This window comes from Homo sapiens, chromosome 9, assembly GCF_000001405.40.
Source record: "Homo sapiens chromosome 9, GRCh38.p14 Primary Assembly".
In the NCBI taxonomy this organism is placed as follows: domain Eukaryota; kingdom Metazoa; phylum Chordata; class Mammalia; order Primates; family Hominidae; genus Homo; species Homo sapiens.
The window spans coordinates 75,082,671-75,097,997 of record NC_000009.12 but is presented as its reverse complement, the minus strand read 5'-3'; the positions used below and the strand labels follow the sequence as shown (position 1 = coordinate 75,097,997).

General features: G+C 44.0%; 2 protein-coding genes across 17 annotated transcripts in view, besides 2 other annotated features; one reads left to right on the top strand and one right to left on the bottom strand.

Annotated features, from left to right (window-relative positions):
• The window catches only part of OSTF1 (osteoclast stimulating factor 1), a 58,752-nt gene extending 49,268 nt beyond the window's left edge, over window positions 1-9,484 (bottom strand). For 4 of the 6 annotated variants that reach the window (XM_011518524.3, NM_012383.5, XM_017014622.3 and 1 more), the window contains exon 1: window positions 9,272-9,484. Coding sequence is in view for 4 of the 6 variants with exons in the window: in NM_012383.5 (NP_036515.4) it covers window positions 9,272-9,305 (34 nt within the window). In the remaining 2 variants the exon portion in view is untranslated. Of the gene's footprint in view, window positions 1-9,262 lie in introns of all 6 variants that reach the window. The other 2 variants (XM_006717053.4, XM_011518525.4) reach the window with 1 other exon arrangement.
• Window positions 9,094-9,183: a silencer, noted in NCBI's record as "silent region_19955". NCBI's record gives its function as "represses an Ori minimal core promoter by ATAC-STARR-seq in GM12878 lymphoblastoid cells {active_cell/tissue: GM12878}" and the evidence as "EXISTENCE:reporter gene assay evidence [ECO:0000049][PMID:35858748]".
• Window positions 9,374-9,973: a silencer, noted in NCBI's record as "silent region_19954". NCBI's record gives its function as "represses an Ori minimal core promoter by ATAC-STARR-seq in GM12878 lymphoblastoid cells {active_cell/tissue: GM12878}" and the evidence as "EXISTENCE:reporter gene assay evidence [ECO:0000049][PMID:35858748]".
• The window catches only part of NMRK1 (nicotinamide riboside kinase 1), a 27,579-nt gene continuing 22,094 nt past the window's right edge, over window positions 9,843-15,327 (top strand). For 4 of the 11 annotated variants that reach the window (XM_017014874.2, XM_006717163.3, XM_047423548.1 and 1 more), the window contains exons 1-3: window positions 9,843-9,990; window positions 10,130-10,347; window positions 14,848-14,911. In XM_017014874.2, the coding sequence (XP_016870363.1) occupies window positions 14,883-14,911 (29 nt within the window). In that variant the 5' untranslated portion in view covers window positions 9,843-9,990; window positions 10,130-10,347; window positions 14,848-14,882. Of the gene's footprint in view, window positions 9,991-10,129; window positions 11,397-14,847; window positions 14,912-15,327 lie in introns of those variants that run through there. The other 7 variants (NM_001127603.2, NM_017881.3, NM_001330678.2 and 4 more) reach the window with 4 other exon arrangements.

Here is a 15,327-nt window from a genome sequence, read left to right as displayed (position 1 = left end):
CAGTCCTAACTCCTGGGAAGGCTAAGGTGGGAGGATCACTTGAGCCCAGGAAGCAGAGGTTGCAGTAAGCCCAAGATCATCACACCACACTCAGCCTGGGCAACAGAGCCAGACCCTTGCCTCAAAGAGAAAAAAAAAAAAAAAACTGAGGCATAAAGTAGTCTAGTGACTTATAAAGGTCACCTAGCAAGTTAACTACAAAATTGGTGCTAATGGAGCTGTTGCTTTAAAAAAAAAAAAAAGAGGGGACGGCACGAGGGCCAGAAGTTCATCCCACTCATAATGAAGCATGTCCAACCCCCATTAGACTTTTATGTTTGGAAAATGTAAAGTTGATTATAACAGTAATACCAACTCTGGAGACCTAAATATGTCTGGGGCTTTATATGCACAGATTCCAATGAGATCCTCAAAAAATGTGGTTGTTCATGAATGGCCATCAAGACACTGAAGACTTGATGTTTGGAAAATGTAAACTTGATTATAACTCAGTTTATCATGGTCTGAACTAGCTTTTCAGGTTAAATCTGGCTGAGGGGAGGGGTCCATTCCATTGGTTGGGGAGCTTAGAGTTTTATTTTTGGTTTACACTTTAGAGCCCCAATATTTAGATACAGAATAGGTTTTCAAGAGTGCAAAGGCCTTAGGCAAGGACCAGAAGCCCTGTCAGATGGGAAGGGTTCCCTGAAAGCAGAAGCAGGCAGTCACCATAGTAGTGACTCCTACCTCACATTTCAGCTTCGGATAGGCCCAGGTTCTAGTGAGCAGTTGCTTGGATGACCTGAATGCAGAGAGATCAAAGAGAATGATTTATTCCCCCAAAGAAAAATGTGGTCGAAAACAATTTTAAGTTTGGCACACCATTCAGAATATTAACTTTGGCAGGAATGGTTTCTGTTGCAAAGTTTCATGGACACTTTCCTTGCCTGAAAAACCAGCAGGAATACCTTCAGATGAAGTCCTCGCAGGGCTAGCATCAGATAAATCTGAGCACTGACTCATCCAAACAATAAGCCCAAAAAAGCAATGAAATAATACGTGCTAGCCAGAAAGTCTTGTGAACCTGGGTAGTCAACATTTCAGACATAAGCATAAGAGTTTGGTTTTCAAATAAGGAAGGATGAGACTCCGAGATCCTCCAAATCTTCTGGAGTCTGAGATACCTGCCAACTGTGTCTAAAACCTAGAGGGGCTTCTTTCAGCCAACCCCGTCTAACCCACACTCAGCGAGCTAAAGTTTGGAAGCGTCTTCTCCCCAAATATGGATTTGGTCAGGAAGTTCCTCGAAGACACACACACATTCCAAGATAACCTCCAGGTTGTAGTCATTTCTTTGTCTCATGGCAGTAAGTCCTGGCTGGGAAGCCGAGAATCCTAAAATAGAATCCATGAGTTTCTCAGAACCAAGCAAAATTCCTGGAGTGTAGGGATGCCAGGGAGACCCTTGTAAAGGGCCTGAGACAGTCCCTCTAGCATGAGTATAAACTGAGTTGGTTAGAGGGTCTCCCTTAATTTGAATTCAAATTGCCCTCAGGCTCCCTGGAAATTGGGAGCACCCAGCAGAAAAGATCCACATTAGATGCATTCTTCGGTCCCAAGAATATAAAACCAAAATAGCTTATCCAATTATAAGGGATGCTAAAGACTTTTAAATTCCATGCCAATCAAAATGCACAAATATAAAACCATCCCCCAACTCTAATCCCAAATGTAAGCTGAGAAATTTGCCTTGTGGCTTTCTAAAAATCCTACAGATGCACAGACATAAAGTGGTAAATGACTGGAAGAATAAAAAGGAGGGGGCATGTCCAGGCGCGGTGGCTCACGCCTGTAATCCCAGCACTTTGGGAGGCCGAGGCGGGTGGATCACGGAGGTCAGGAGATCGAGACCATCCTGGCTAACACGGTGAAACCCTGACTCTACTAAAAATACCAAAAATTAGCCAGGCGTGGTGGCGGGCGCCTGCAGTCCCAGCCACTCAGGAGGCTGAGGCAGGAGAATGGCGTGAACCCGGGAGGCGGAGGTTGCAGTGAGCCGAAATCGCGCCACTGCACTCCAGCCTGGGCGACAGAGCAAGACTCCATCTCAAAAAAAAAAAAAGGGGGGCCACAGCAGTCACACCAATAACTTGTTTAATTGATTTGCAGTTGCTAAATCTCTTCAACTCGTTGCCCTAAACTAAACACCTACAGCAACTGTTAACACTGAGAAACAGATAAGCAATCTGTGAAGAGGGCTGACGTGTGCATTTAAATTCTTGCTTTCTGTGTGGAGCAATACCATTTTTCACAAACTGTTACACTGGGTAAACGGCCTTCCCTTTATTCAGAGAAAATTATCTGGTTCACAGTTCTCTGTGCACATACCAAATTTCCTTGACTTCTCTGAAAGAAGCTTAGCCCTTATTTAGTTAGACAAATGTGGACAGGAGGATGCATTATTTCATTTCTGCCTGAATCAAATGACTTTTCCCCCTTTGCTGCCCAGCAAACTCTTACTCAGCATTGGGAACTCTGCTTAGATTACTCCTCTTCCGTAACATCTTCTCAGCTGCCTCAAGCTCCTTGCCCCATGCTTCCCAGCCCTCTGATCACACTTTGATAACATCTCCTATCACAAGCACTGAGATTTTTCTGTTTAAGACATGCTCATACATTTTTGGTAGGGAAGTAAACTGGTATGACCTCTTTGAAAAGCGATTTGGAAATTTCTATGAAAACAGCAGTGCACTTACCCTCTGAAACAACAAATCCCACTGCCAGGACTTTATCCTATGGATTTACGTGTGTAAGCAACAACAATACTATTGGGAGACTATTTGTTATAACAAAAGATTGAAAACAATCCAGAAGTACGTTAATTAGGGTCTGGTTAAATGAGCTCAGCAGAATACTATGTAGTTATTTAAAAGAACCAGGAAGTTCTCCTGGTTCTAATATTTGTGTTGTATTGTTTGTTTGTTTATTTGAGACAGGGTCTCGCTCTGTCACCCAGGCTGGAGTGCAGTGGCACGATCTTGGCCTCCCAGGCTCAAGTGATCCTCCCACCTCAGTCTCCTAAGTAGCAGGGACTACAAACACGCACCACCAAGCCCAGCTAATTTTTTCATATTTGTTGTACAGAAAAGGTTTCACCATGTTGCCCAGGCTGGTCTCAAACTCCTAGGCTCAAGCAATCTGCCTGCCTGGGCCTCCCAAAGTGCCAGGATTACAGGTGTGAACCACTGTGCCTGGCCTGTACATTTTTCTGAAACTCCTTTAATTTGATAAGAGAATCTTGACACCTCACTCATATCAGCCCACTGAAAGGTGTCCCTGTATCATTTTTTTTTTAATGTAGTCTTTCCCTGTCCATTAAGCAAGTGAGGACAACTTTGGCAATGGGTTCTGTTATGCCCTGAGGTATAAGGTGTGTATTAGAAAATCTCACTGCACTAGTCACGTAAGTCAAATTGTGGGAATGCTGAAACGCCAAGGGAGGGGACCCCAGTATTTCCAGAAGGGAGGAATGCTTATCAGAAGCACATAACCTCCAGCCTTTGCTACTTTGTAGTAAAGCTACAAGAAAAGCCCAATCACAGTCTCTGAGTCCACCCCCACCTTCTTTCAGGGAAAAAAAAAAAAACCCACCTTTTTTTTGTATCAAAGCGTTTTACATTATCTGTCATTCATAACGATTTAGTGGCTGTGCAGTTACAAAGAAATAAAAGACTGTTCCACTCTCAAAAAGTGCATAGTTTAATGCTCTAATACGGATCCATTGAAAGAGGGCAGTTACACAAACCAAATACCAATAATACAACTGCATAAGCTAATAAAATGACTGTCCAACAAAAGCAGGTCCAACCCAATAACATCTCTGGCAGGTTTCTCTGCTCATATGCATGGACTCAATTAAAGCTTCTGTTCCACTTCCAGGTCACACCAACCACTCACTAGCTTTGAGATCTTAGATAGTTTACTTGACCTCATTAAGTACTACTTCATCCATAAAACAGGGATATGAGGACCCACCCACCTGATAGGAAAGTCAGAATAATTAAAGGAGACAGAGCATACACAGTGCTGGGTGCAGTGCCTGACATATGGGGCCAAATATATGTTAACCATTCCCATCATCATCATCATTGTGAAATTTTCAAGATGTTTCTCAGGCTTTATTCTGCCAACAGGTATAAAAAGTATCAAGTTTATAAAAGAAGACTATTCACGTGCATATTTCACCTCACTTTTGATTAATTCCTTTGTTGGGGTAAAAAATACATAAAAATTAAGTTCATTTTAGATAAAAACCTTTTTTTCTCAAAAATGTTATTTAAGCAGCATGCGTGTGATGTCTTTTAAGTTTTATGATGTTTTTACTCTGAATAACAAAAAAACCTGAAACACTGACATTTGCTTCTTCAAAGTTCCATGAATTTATTTTCACAAGGCACATGAAATATTTATGCTTTACTTTCACCACCAAAATCAATAAGCCATTTGGAAAAAATGGCCAAGGTCAGACACCAGGTTTCCAACTACAATAGATAGTTACCAAACCTGCTTAGAATGAGATGATTCTACAGCCCAAATCTCATTCAGTATCCTTTGGCCCATTCTTACTCTCAGAATAAAATATTTTTAAAAAGATTTTACAAGAACAAAAGTTCTGTTTTCTACACTTCTACACTCTAACAAGCCAGACAGATTCACGCTAATTGAACTGCAAGGCTTCTGAGAGTGGCTGAAAACAACATAAATGCTATATGTGTAAAACTAAGAGGTTGTACTCATTCAGAAAAAGGAAAGGAGGGTCTCAGCCAGGTTTGGTGGTGAGCATCTATAATTCCAGATACTCTGGAAGCTCAGGAAGGAAGAAGACTGCTTGAGCACAGGAGAGCAAGACCAGCCTGGTCAACATAGCAAAATCCCATCTCCAAAAAAAAAAAAAGAAAGAAAGAAAGAGAGAGAGAGAAAGAAAGAAAGAAAGAGGGTATCATAAAGAATGAGCTGAAGACCACGAAATTGCAACACATCTTAGTAGAGTACCATGGTGGCACAGATAACAGTTAAGGGAGAAAGTTTCAATGACAGACCTTGTGTGGCCAAAAGTGATTCTACAGAAACAAAATCAGTAAGCAAGGAAAGGTCAAACTGCGACAGAATTGATTTTTCAAGCAGAATGCAGGCAATACCGTATAGCCTTTTGGAAACATATGCCAACCAACAGCAAGACTTTTCAAACGGAAGCTGAGACGCTGTTCTGAGGGTAATTGTTTTTATTTTCTTTTTTGAAATGAAATGGATGTGAAGAAGAAAGAAACCTGAAAGAATATTCAACCAAATGTAAATAGTGATTATCAGTAGATGACAGGGATGATTCCTATATTTTAGTTATATATTTATTGTTTACCTTTTTCTAAATTTTCTAAAAATAAAAAAATTATATTTTTACTTACAAGCTTTTTTAAAAAAAACAAAATGAATGAGATCAGCCATCCACTTGTAAATATGGGATACTCTAGGTAATATCTGTAGATACATACGTCTTCCCCATTAGACTCAGGACCCTCGTGAATGACACCATAGATTATTGTTCCTGGGAACCCCAGTGTCTAGCACAGGGCCTAATATATGAGCTACATTTATTAAGAAACATTTGTTTAGCAAATGAATTCTGGATATGGCCAAAAACCCAAACAAGGTAACCCTGATCTATCCTCCAGATGGTACAAAAATGGCCAGGGTCTCCCACTAGCATCTGCCCGGGACTTCCCTGGGCAGCCTCCTTCCACAAATCGGCCCCCTGTTGGGGATGTGCTGATCAGCCAGAAAGATGCTATTAGCCTGCATTATAGCTTAATGTCCCTTGTTTTTAATATCTTCCAGCAAGTCCTTTGTCCTTACTCACCTAGCTCCTTTCCTTTTAGTATTGTCTACTGAATTGAGCCATGCTGTTTTGCCCAAATCTTGCTCTGAAAGAAGCTGTAAGAAACATGGCTAGGATGTTCTGTCTTGTATTTCTGCTAGAGATATCCAGGCCACTCCAATACTTTAAGAGAACCCACAGGAAAATCTGTCTCAGATCTCAATGCCATTAAAATAACTACTTTTCAGAGTAAGTGACACATTTTAATTTTATGAGCACTATGAATCTTGAGATTTTTCTCTCTGCTTGCAGCTGAGAGCCAAATCTACAGTGACCTTACTACACATGCAGGTCTGTCTGTAAGCTAGCTTTTCCTCTTGTTTCATCTTACTATTCTTCCCTTCCTCTAGATGACCATGCTTTATCTTTACTTTTTCCTCTCTCTCAGATCATGTGTATTTTTAGAAGTCCTTTTGGAATGAGGCAAGGTTTAAACAAACCAAAAAATTAAATACAACCCCAAAGCCCCCAATCCCATGCTGTCTTTGGAGATTTTTATCCATGCAGCTTGCCTGCAGGACAAGAAAGTAAAGCTCCACACCACTCTCCTTGCTGTCAACCAGGGGCTGACCTTTATGTGCATTTGTGACAAGAAAGTCTGTAGACCAGAGGCCCCTCCCTTTCGACTTCCTGACCACCAGCTCTAAAATACACATTTGACCGCCAGTGTGAATGGAGCACTATGACTTAAGGCAGAATAGCAAATGGTTAAGAGTGCAGACTTTGGCCAGGCACAGTGATCCCACACTTTGGGAAGCGAAGGAGGGTGGATCACAAGGTCAGGAGTTCAAGACCAGCCTGGATCCTGTCTCTACTAAAAATACAAAAAAAAAATTAGCCGGGCATGGTGGCGGGCTGCCTGTAATCCCAGCTGCTCGGGAGGCTGAGGCAGAGAATTGCTTGATCCCGAGAGGCGGAGGTTGCAGTGAGCCGAGATCGCGCCACTGCACTCCAGCCTGGGCAACAGAGCGAGAGTCTGTCTCAAAAAAAAAAAAAAAAAAAAAAGTGCAGACTTCAAAGCCAGACTACCTGGGTTTTAATACTGCCTGCTACATCCCCCACTCTAACTGTTGACTTTAGACAAGTTAAATAACATTTCTGCGCATCTTTATTTCCCCATCTGTGCAACAGGAACAATATAATGGTACTGATCTCATAAGATTGTTGAGAGCAGCAAATGTGTTAACACGTGTAAAGTGACTATACCATTGCCTAACACACAGTAAATGTGGGACAGTACTACGATAGGACATTTCTGTTTTTGTTTTTTGTACTCTGTTGAGACGGGGTCTTGCTATGTTGCCCAGGCTAGTCTCAAACTCCTAGCCTCAAGCAATCCTCCCACCTCAGCCTCATAAAGTGCTAGGATTACAGGCATGGCCCACTGCTCCTGGCCATCGCTTTTTTTTTTTCTTCAACTAAGCTAGCCCACACAAAGTTTCAACTCTGATTGGCAGTAATGTTTCTCACTGTAAATTACTAAACTGGCAAACCCATTTCTATGGTAACTTTGTGTCTGGATCTCATTTGTAAATTAATGTTGATTCAAAATTCCCTTTATCCTGAATCAAGGACCAGATAAAACAAATTAAAATAAAATAAAATGCAAAGTTCCCTCTAAACACCTGTCATGTTTAACCATAAGCTTTCTGATGTGAAGGAGAAAGGAGGTTCCTGGGAATGTATCCACAATTAGTAACAGGATGACCCTTAAACCCCCAAGTGTGAATGAACCCACATGTATACATTACTGTGTACACACACACACACACACACACACACACACACACACCTGTCAATGTCCCTCCATTTGCAATATAGACAGCATTTAATACGCATGAAGAGATTTTTAAAAAGGGCATTCTTTAACGTATTTCAACTGGCAGCAGGTGATCAGAAAAAAATAAGATAAATAAAATATTGTTTAGCTATCAAAGAACAACTCTGCACTGTTAGATACTTAAGGTCCTGATTTGCACCTGAGTTTAGAAAGCTACCTCATACATATGCACTTAAAATGGAAATTTCTCATCAGATTCCACATCTAATGCAATGCAGAACCCAACTCTAGCTGTGCCCCATCTTTGCCCAGGGCAGAGCCAGTCTCAGCAACTTCCTTCACACTCAGCCCACCAAGATGTCAGTCCTCAGTGAAGCACTATTCCACATACGTACGTACATGATTATCAAATAAAGGGACTTCATACTCCAACTGCAGGAACGCAAAGAAACAAAACTAGATAAGTATGAAAGCTATAGAGTTTAGGAAAATCAAGGAAAAAAGTAATCACTGAAACTCATCTCTTGCAAAGAAAGTTACTTCAAAATTTGACGTAAATGGATTAAATTTCAGCATTTCGCTATACCGAAATTACACTATGGGAAGAAAAAACCCAAGAATACATCGGAGCCATTTATCTTCCATTTCCTGTATTTCCCTTAATTACCTACCCAAATGAATGCACGTAAGAGTTGTTAAAGTATTGAAATACGTCAGTCCTTTCTAATTACCTACCCAAATGAATGAGCGGAACAGTATGTTACAACTTTTAATTAAAATACGTCAGTTTCTTTTACAATTATCTTATTTCTGCATATCACAGAAAATATTCTAAGAACAGAGCAAAAATGAACAAGGACAATCCGCCCAGAAAACTGCTTTGAGGAATTTAGTAATCTCAGCCCTCTCAGGTTTAGCACGCCAACGTCTTTGGGAGAGCAAAGGCAAAGGAGATGATAAAATGACACTTCCAAATAGCAACAGCTGAGATCACTGCCGCATCCTAGATTCTTTCCACCAGGAGCGCGAGTATAGGGTTTTTTTCTAAACGCTCTTCCCAAGATCCCGAGGTCAATTTCAAACGCTGCTCCACGCTTAAGTCCCGAGGGAGGCTCGCTCGCCCACCCCACCCTGCAGGGATTGCACTTCCCGTTCGCTCTGGCCGGTCAGGAACCCTAACTTGACAGTGACAAACACTGAGAAAAGAGGAAGTGGCTAAAGATCATTTCATGACATTTTTTAAAGGGAGATCAATGGCCCTGTCTTTCCGGAAAACTTCCATGGGACGTTGCCATCACACCCTCTGAAAGTTTCAGCGAATGACAACGTAGCAAAAGTGAGGGCTACTCCCCTTTAAATATATATATATATATTAATCCTCGAAATCCTCTTGCTATCAAAATCGATCCCTCCTCCGTAACAGCGAACGCAAAACTAAGAGCGCCCATCCCGGTGGGGCCGATCTCGGAAGCCAGGCTCGGGGCCGGGTGCGCGCCGGGTCCTCCCTGCCAAGCTGCAGAGGAGGCGCCGGCACCGCGGCGGTCGCAGGACCTGGCAAGCGCCTACCTTACCTCCCTCACCTGGTTTGACTGGTTTGGGTGGCGGCTTCGACATCTCGCTTCCTGGAGCTGCAAATCCTAAAGACCCCGCCGAAAAGCCCACCGCTTGCCCGCCACCTGGCACTCCGGGCACCCCAGTTCTTTTTGTCTGGCTTACAACCGTGCGCCTCCTAGGACCGGCGCCCACCCTTGGCTGCGGGAAGAGCGGACGCAGGCAGAGCGGCTCCGCCGAGTGCTCCGCCCCGCCCCGCGGCCGCCGGAGCAGTCCAGAGCGCGCGCCGGGCCGACGAGGAAGTGGACCCCGCCTAGCCGAGCGCTAATTGGCTCCCGGGCTGGCAGCTTCGCCGCAGCAGGAGCGCGGGCGGCGCGCACGGCGGCGGAACCAGCCGGAGCCGAGCGAGGGCGAAGCGGGCGTGCGCCAGTGCAGTGCCGCGGGCCGCGCGCGCTCCCGATAGGGAAGGGCCGGAGCTGCGCAGGGGCGCGCGGAAGAGGCCAAGCTAGCCGGAGCCCCGCCCCGCCCCGCCCCGCCCCAACGGGGGCTGGAACCCGGCGCCGAGAGTAGAGAAAAGGGGCCTCTGGTGACCGCCCCTACCTGGCATCCCTCTAACCCAGGAGGAGCGTGGGGAAAGGGGCTGTGGGCCTCTCGGGGAGCGAGCTGCGGGTAGCGGCGCACTGGGTACAGGCGCGCGCTTGGCTGTCGCCTCTGCCGCTGTGTTTGGGAGGACTCGAACTGGCGCCAGGTGAGTGCGTACCTGCTCGCCCCTGCCGCGCCGCGCCGCCTTGCTGGGGCCTGGAGGTGTTTCCAGAGGGTTTCTGTGCTGGAGCCCGGGACTTGGTTGCGCCCTGAAAGCCTTGCCTGGACTCTTGCCACCCTCACAGAGCTGATAGGTGGCCTGCCGAGGAGGACGTGTACTCATGGTGGCGTGGTGCTCTAGCGCCCCGGAATAATCCTGAAAATGGGAACGCTGCCTCCAAGAGACCGCGCAGCCTGGAGAAGTCGCCAGGGACAGGATCAGGACTTGATCCTCGCGGATCGATATGGTCTCATTCCTCTAGCGTTGGGGTGATGACCTACTGCCCGCCTGCTGCCTGTTACTGTAAGGCCTGCTAAGAATTTTTTTTTTTTTTACTTTTTTTAATGACTGAAAAGAAATAAAAAGAAATATAATACTTTGTGACACGTGAAAATTACATGAAATTACGATTTCAGTGTCCGTAAAATTTTACTGGAACACGGTCACGCTCATTTGCATCTGTGTTTTCTGTGGCCGCTTTCGCATTACCCAGCAGGGTTGAGTAGCAGCTGGCAAAGCCCAAAGCATTTCCTGTCTGGCACTTTACAGAAAAAGTTTTCCTACCCCTGATCTATCGGATTGAATCTTCGGTGGGAGGAAAGAACTGGAGCACACAAGGAAGCCAATGGCATAAGTTCAAAATAACAGTCAATATTGTAAATTAATTGTATATTTGGGGAAAGAAAAAACTGTTTACCTAAGAACCTACATAAATGAAACCAATGGGGGAGGGGCATGAATTGCGTTTTCAAAAACCCCAGCCCTTCACGTCTGTAATCCCAGCACTTTGGGAGGGCAAGGCGGGTGGATCACGAGGTCAAGAGATCAAGACCATCTTGGCCAACCTGGTGAAACCCGATCTCTACTAAAACTGCAAAAAATTAGCCGGGCGTGGTGGCAGACGCCTGTAGTCCCAGCTACTCGGGAGGCTGGGGCAGGAGAATCACTTGAACCCAGAAGGCGGAGGTTGCAGTAAGCCGAGATTGCGCCACTGCACTCCAGCCTGGCAACAGAGCGAGACTCTGTCTTAAAAAAAAAAAAAAAACCCAGCCTTGAGGGATTTGTTTACCAAAAGGGAGCAAAGTTTAAACAATAGTAGGAAAAGACTGCCCTATCTCCTGGAAGAAGAGAATCAAAATAGCTGTTGGATAGAATACAGAGTAAGAAGTCCTGGAAACATTTTTCTCTTTTTAAAATATCAGACTGTCCTGTAGATACATTTGAAGAGCACATTTAGCTTTGTCAGCTGTCTTTCAGATCATTTGCGTTAGAGAGCTGCGTTAGAGAGTTCGTACAATCTGCTGATTCTGCACATGCCACTTCTGACCATTCTGCAGTTTAGAATCCAAAAGGCAAGTGTTTAGTAGTGAAATGAATTAAGCATAATAAACACACCTGAATTATTTTAAAAAACCCAACATTTTACTTAGGGTTAAAAAAAAGTGTAAAAAATAAAATTAGTCATTTCAGGTTTGCTCTTGGCTATCCTAGTTTGTTCTCCTGCTATGCAAAAGCTCTCCGCTGTTGAGGAAAGCCTTGCACGCACTGGGAAAATAAACTACACAGATATTCCATGAGATTGAAGGTGGTGTGGATTCTAGTGATAGACGTGCCCTGAAATGATGACTCTTTGGACACATCACATGATTTACAGTTTGTACGAAGCTTGCATTTGCTTCATGAAGCCTGGCAACTCAATTGCGAGCTTTTTAAATTTGATTTTTTGTTTTGTTTTTGGTTTTATGGGAGGCAGTTTTTGGGTTGTTTTTTGCCTGTTTGTTTTGGTTTTTTTCAAGATAGGGTCTCGCTGTGTCACCAAGGCTGCAATGCAGTGGCACAGTCATGGCTCACTGCAGCCTTGGTGATTTTTTTTATAGGGGCAACAGGCAATGAAATAGTAGAATGTGATGTGGAGGTGGACAGTGCCAGGCCTGAACTTGGAGCTCCCCTAAAGCTGCCCTGTGCATCCACACTGTTTTTGAAATAAATGCCTTCAGGGATTGCTAGGCCCACCCCCCACCCCGCCCTAGTCACTTAGCCCAGTTGCCTCTCTTGTCTCTGCATGTTCCAGTTACCCACCCTTCCCATCACATTGTCACTTGCTCATAGCTGATAGGGTATGCCCAGCATTTACCCAAACACTGGCTTGGACAGGCCCAGACTGCTAACTAATGTAGAACTGGGAGTTCCTGTTTTGGTTAAAAAAAAAAAAAAAAAAAAAAAAAAACTTACATTTGACTGTATCTGAGAGATTTTATAAGTAGGTTTTTTATGCCATCTTACTCCTGGTTCCTGAATGCAAGTAACCCCCTCAAGCCTATTTCCCATGCCACAACCATGCTCACTTGTTATTTACATGCCATGTAATTGATGCAATGGTCACACGTGTAACCACAGATGTGGCAGTTTAGGACGGGGACCAGTAGTCCTTTCCATTCTGTGTGCACAGCAAATAGATGCCCCATCAATAATACATCAGTAAGAATGACATCAATTATACATCAGAGCCTGACAATTAAGCTAGCACATACCTAACACCCTTTCTTTGCTGTTAGTAATAAAGTGCTTTTTAGCAGCTTGGAGTGATAGAAAGAAGTCAGCTCAATTGGTTTAGTTTAATATCTGGCTTTTCCACTTACTGTCTGTGTGACCTTAGGCAAATTGCTCTATTGTCTGAGCCAGTTTCCACTTATGCAAAATGAAGGGGTAGACCAAGTAATCGCTAAAGCTATACTTCTCCAAGTTTGAGAATTTATGCTTCAGCGAGCTATCCAAAAATAATGGGGGCAAGGAATGACAAGGTTTTATGAATTTTTATTTTATTTGGTAAAGTGAGGATATCACTCTACTAACATCTTCTGACAACATAGTTTTGTAAGAGAAAGAACATTTATCACCACAAAAGTGAGATAAAGAGCAGCCTCTCCCTTCCCAAAAAAAGGCTAATTGGCAGCATTGAACCGACATACCAAAAAAATAAGAATAGGGTAAAATAAAATTCAAAAGCAGAAAAATTACAACATAAAAATGTATTTTACAATATTCATTGTATGCAGTCATTCCCTCGATACATCTTGTAAATTTGGATGGAGATGTGTATTCAACAACATAACTCTGGATGAAACTTAAATATGCAACTTGTCTGCTATTTTATTTTATTTTTTAAGACAGGGCCTCACTCTGCCACCCAGGCTGGAGTGCAGCGGCTCAATCTCCACTCACTGCTACCCCCACCTTGTAGGCTCAAGCAATCCTCCCACCTCAGCCTCCGAAGTAGCTGGGACTACAGGAGCATGCCACCATGCCTGGATAATCTTTTGTATTTTTGGTAGAGGTAGCGTTTTGCCATGTTGCCCAGGCTGGTCTCAACCTCCTGAGCTCAAGCAATCCGCCTGCCTTGGCCTCCCAAAGTGCTGGGATTATAGGCATGAGCCACAGTGCCCTGCTGCTATTTTATCACAGTCATTATTGATTCTTGTCTCACATAGACTTGTTAATGGAAGTGGACCCCAGTCTTAAGCAATTGTACTCAATGTGGGATATTTAGATAAGCCAAGAAGTCAGACAACAATAGCCCTCTTCCCACCAGGCTTTTTTCTGCATAACCCCTCCCCAGGGAGAGTGTGGACACAGATCATAGAAACTGGAGCATTGCTGGGAGCCTCCAGCTTGGCAGGCAGCCGCTTGCCCCTGGCTACACGGCCTAGGTCCCTGGCAACCCCCCTGAGCAGATAGGAAGGAAGAAGAGTGGCCTTCAGGGATGACCTTCAGGAGCCACTATTCTAAGATTCCCTCCAGCTGTGCTTCACCTTTTCACTTAGTGAGAAAAATGGCCCATTGTAATAACCAAGGACTACTTTAGTGAACGTTAGGGAGGCATGTATGAAACTGCCCTCCATCCCCTAAACCAAAAATCCACAAAACAGTGGCCGGTGGCTTAACTTGGCCCTCTGCCTGAACATTTGCAGTTTCATGTAGAAAGCACAACAGAAATCCAATTAAGAGAAATGATAGCCCAATAAAAGGGAATTTCATTCTTGTCATTAGTAGACCTGTTAAAAAAATTATGATTATATGTTGAATTTCATCAAAAAAAATTGTGAAAATGTTTTTTCTCTTGTTATATAAGTCCATACATAACAACCTAGATTTTGCCTCTTGGCCCACATAGTGTCAAATATTTACTGTCTGGCCTGTTTCCAAAAAAAATGTACCTAGCCAGGCCCAAGACCTAGGCTTTTGGGTGAAGAAATAGTGTCTTTAAACGGCATTAGCTTCATTTTGCCTCTGGCCAGCAGTAACTTTCTTCTTGTCTCATAAGGGCAGTATCTTTAAACGGCATTAGCTTCTTTTTGCCTCTGGTCAGCAGTGACTTTTTCCTTGTCTCATGAGGGGAGAAAGAGGCCAGCCCACAGGGGTCCCTCCCTCACTGATAATGAGTCATACCCAGGCGACTGAATCGTGAAGGTGGAAGGCAACCTGGCTAAGGAGAGGATGAAACTTCATATACCACGCTGTGGCCTAGCAGTTCTTCCACGCCCAGAAAACAGACGTTCAAGGGGGAGTGCTCCGGCAGGTCACCTGACGTTGAACTGTTTGACAGTCCTGAGCACACCCCAGTGGTTGGCACTCAGTGGTAGCAGGGGAAGCCAGTGCGGCGGGAATGTGGATAATGCGGGGCTGGGCTGAAAGGTCACTGTCATCCTCCCCTCTCAGCTGGTGCTCCTAATTTAGGATTCTTTTATCTCCCTAGACATCTAAATGAAATGCATTTGATTTGTTTGTTTGTTTTTTTACTTTTAGGAAATATTAGGAAGCTGTGATTTTCAAAGCTAATTATGAAAACATTTATCATTGGAATCAGTGGGTGAGTAATTTTGCTACAAACAGCTCTTTAAGATACTGAGGATGTCCAAATGGTGTTTCTGTGTGGATGGAGTGGGGGACGGAGAAGCAGTGAGGATTCCAGAGTCCTGGGGAAGAGCAGACCACTGTGGAATATCAGTGGAGCACTGGCTTCATAAATGCCAACAAGAGATGGAAGAGTTTTCTATAAACAGAGAAACAGAAGAGTCAGTCAACCACATTTACCCACTTTCCCATTTATTTTGTGGAGCTAACACCAGAGACAAGGTCTGATTGGGCACTGCTTTCATTCAGGATGATTTATCATTCCCCATATCATTCTCCTTCATCACGATGGAGGAGAAAACTTAGTTTCTTTCCAGCTGTGCCCAGCTTCAGACATTTGGTATACAGAACACCTTCACCTCCATTCCTTTC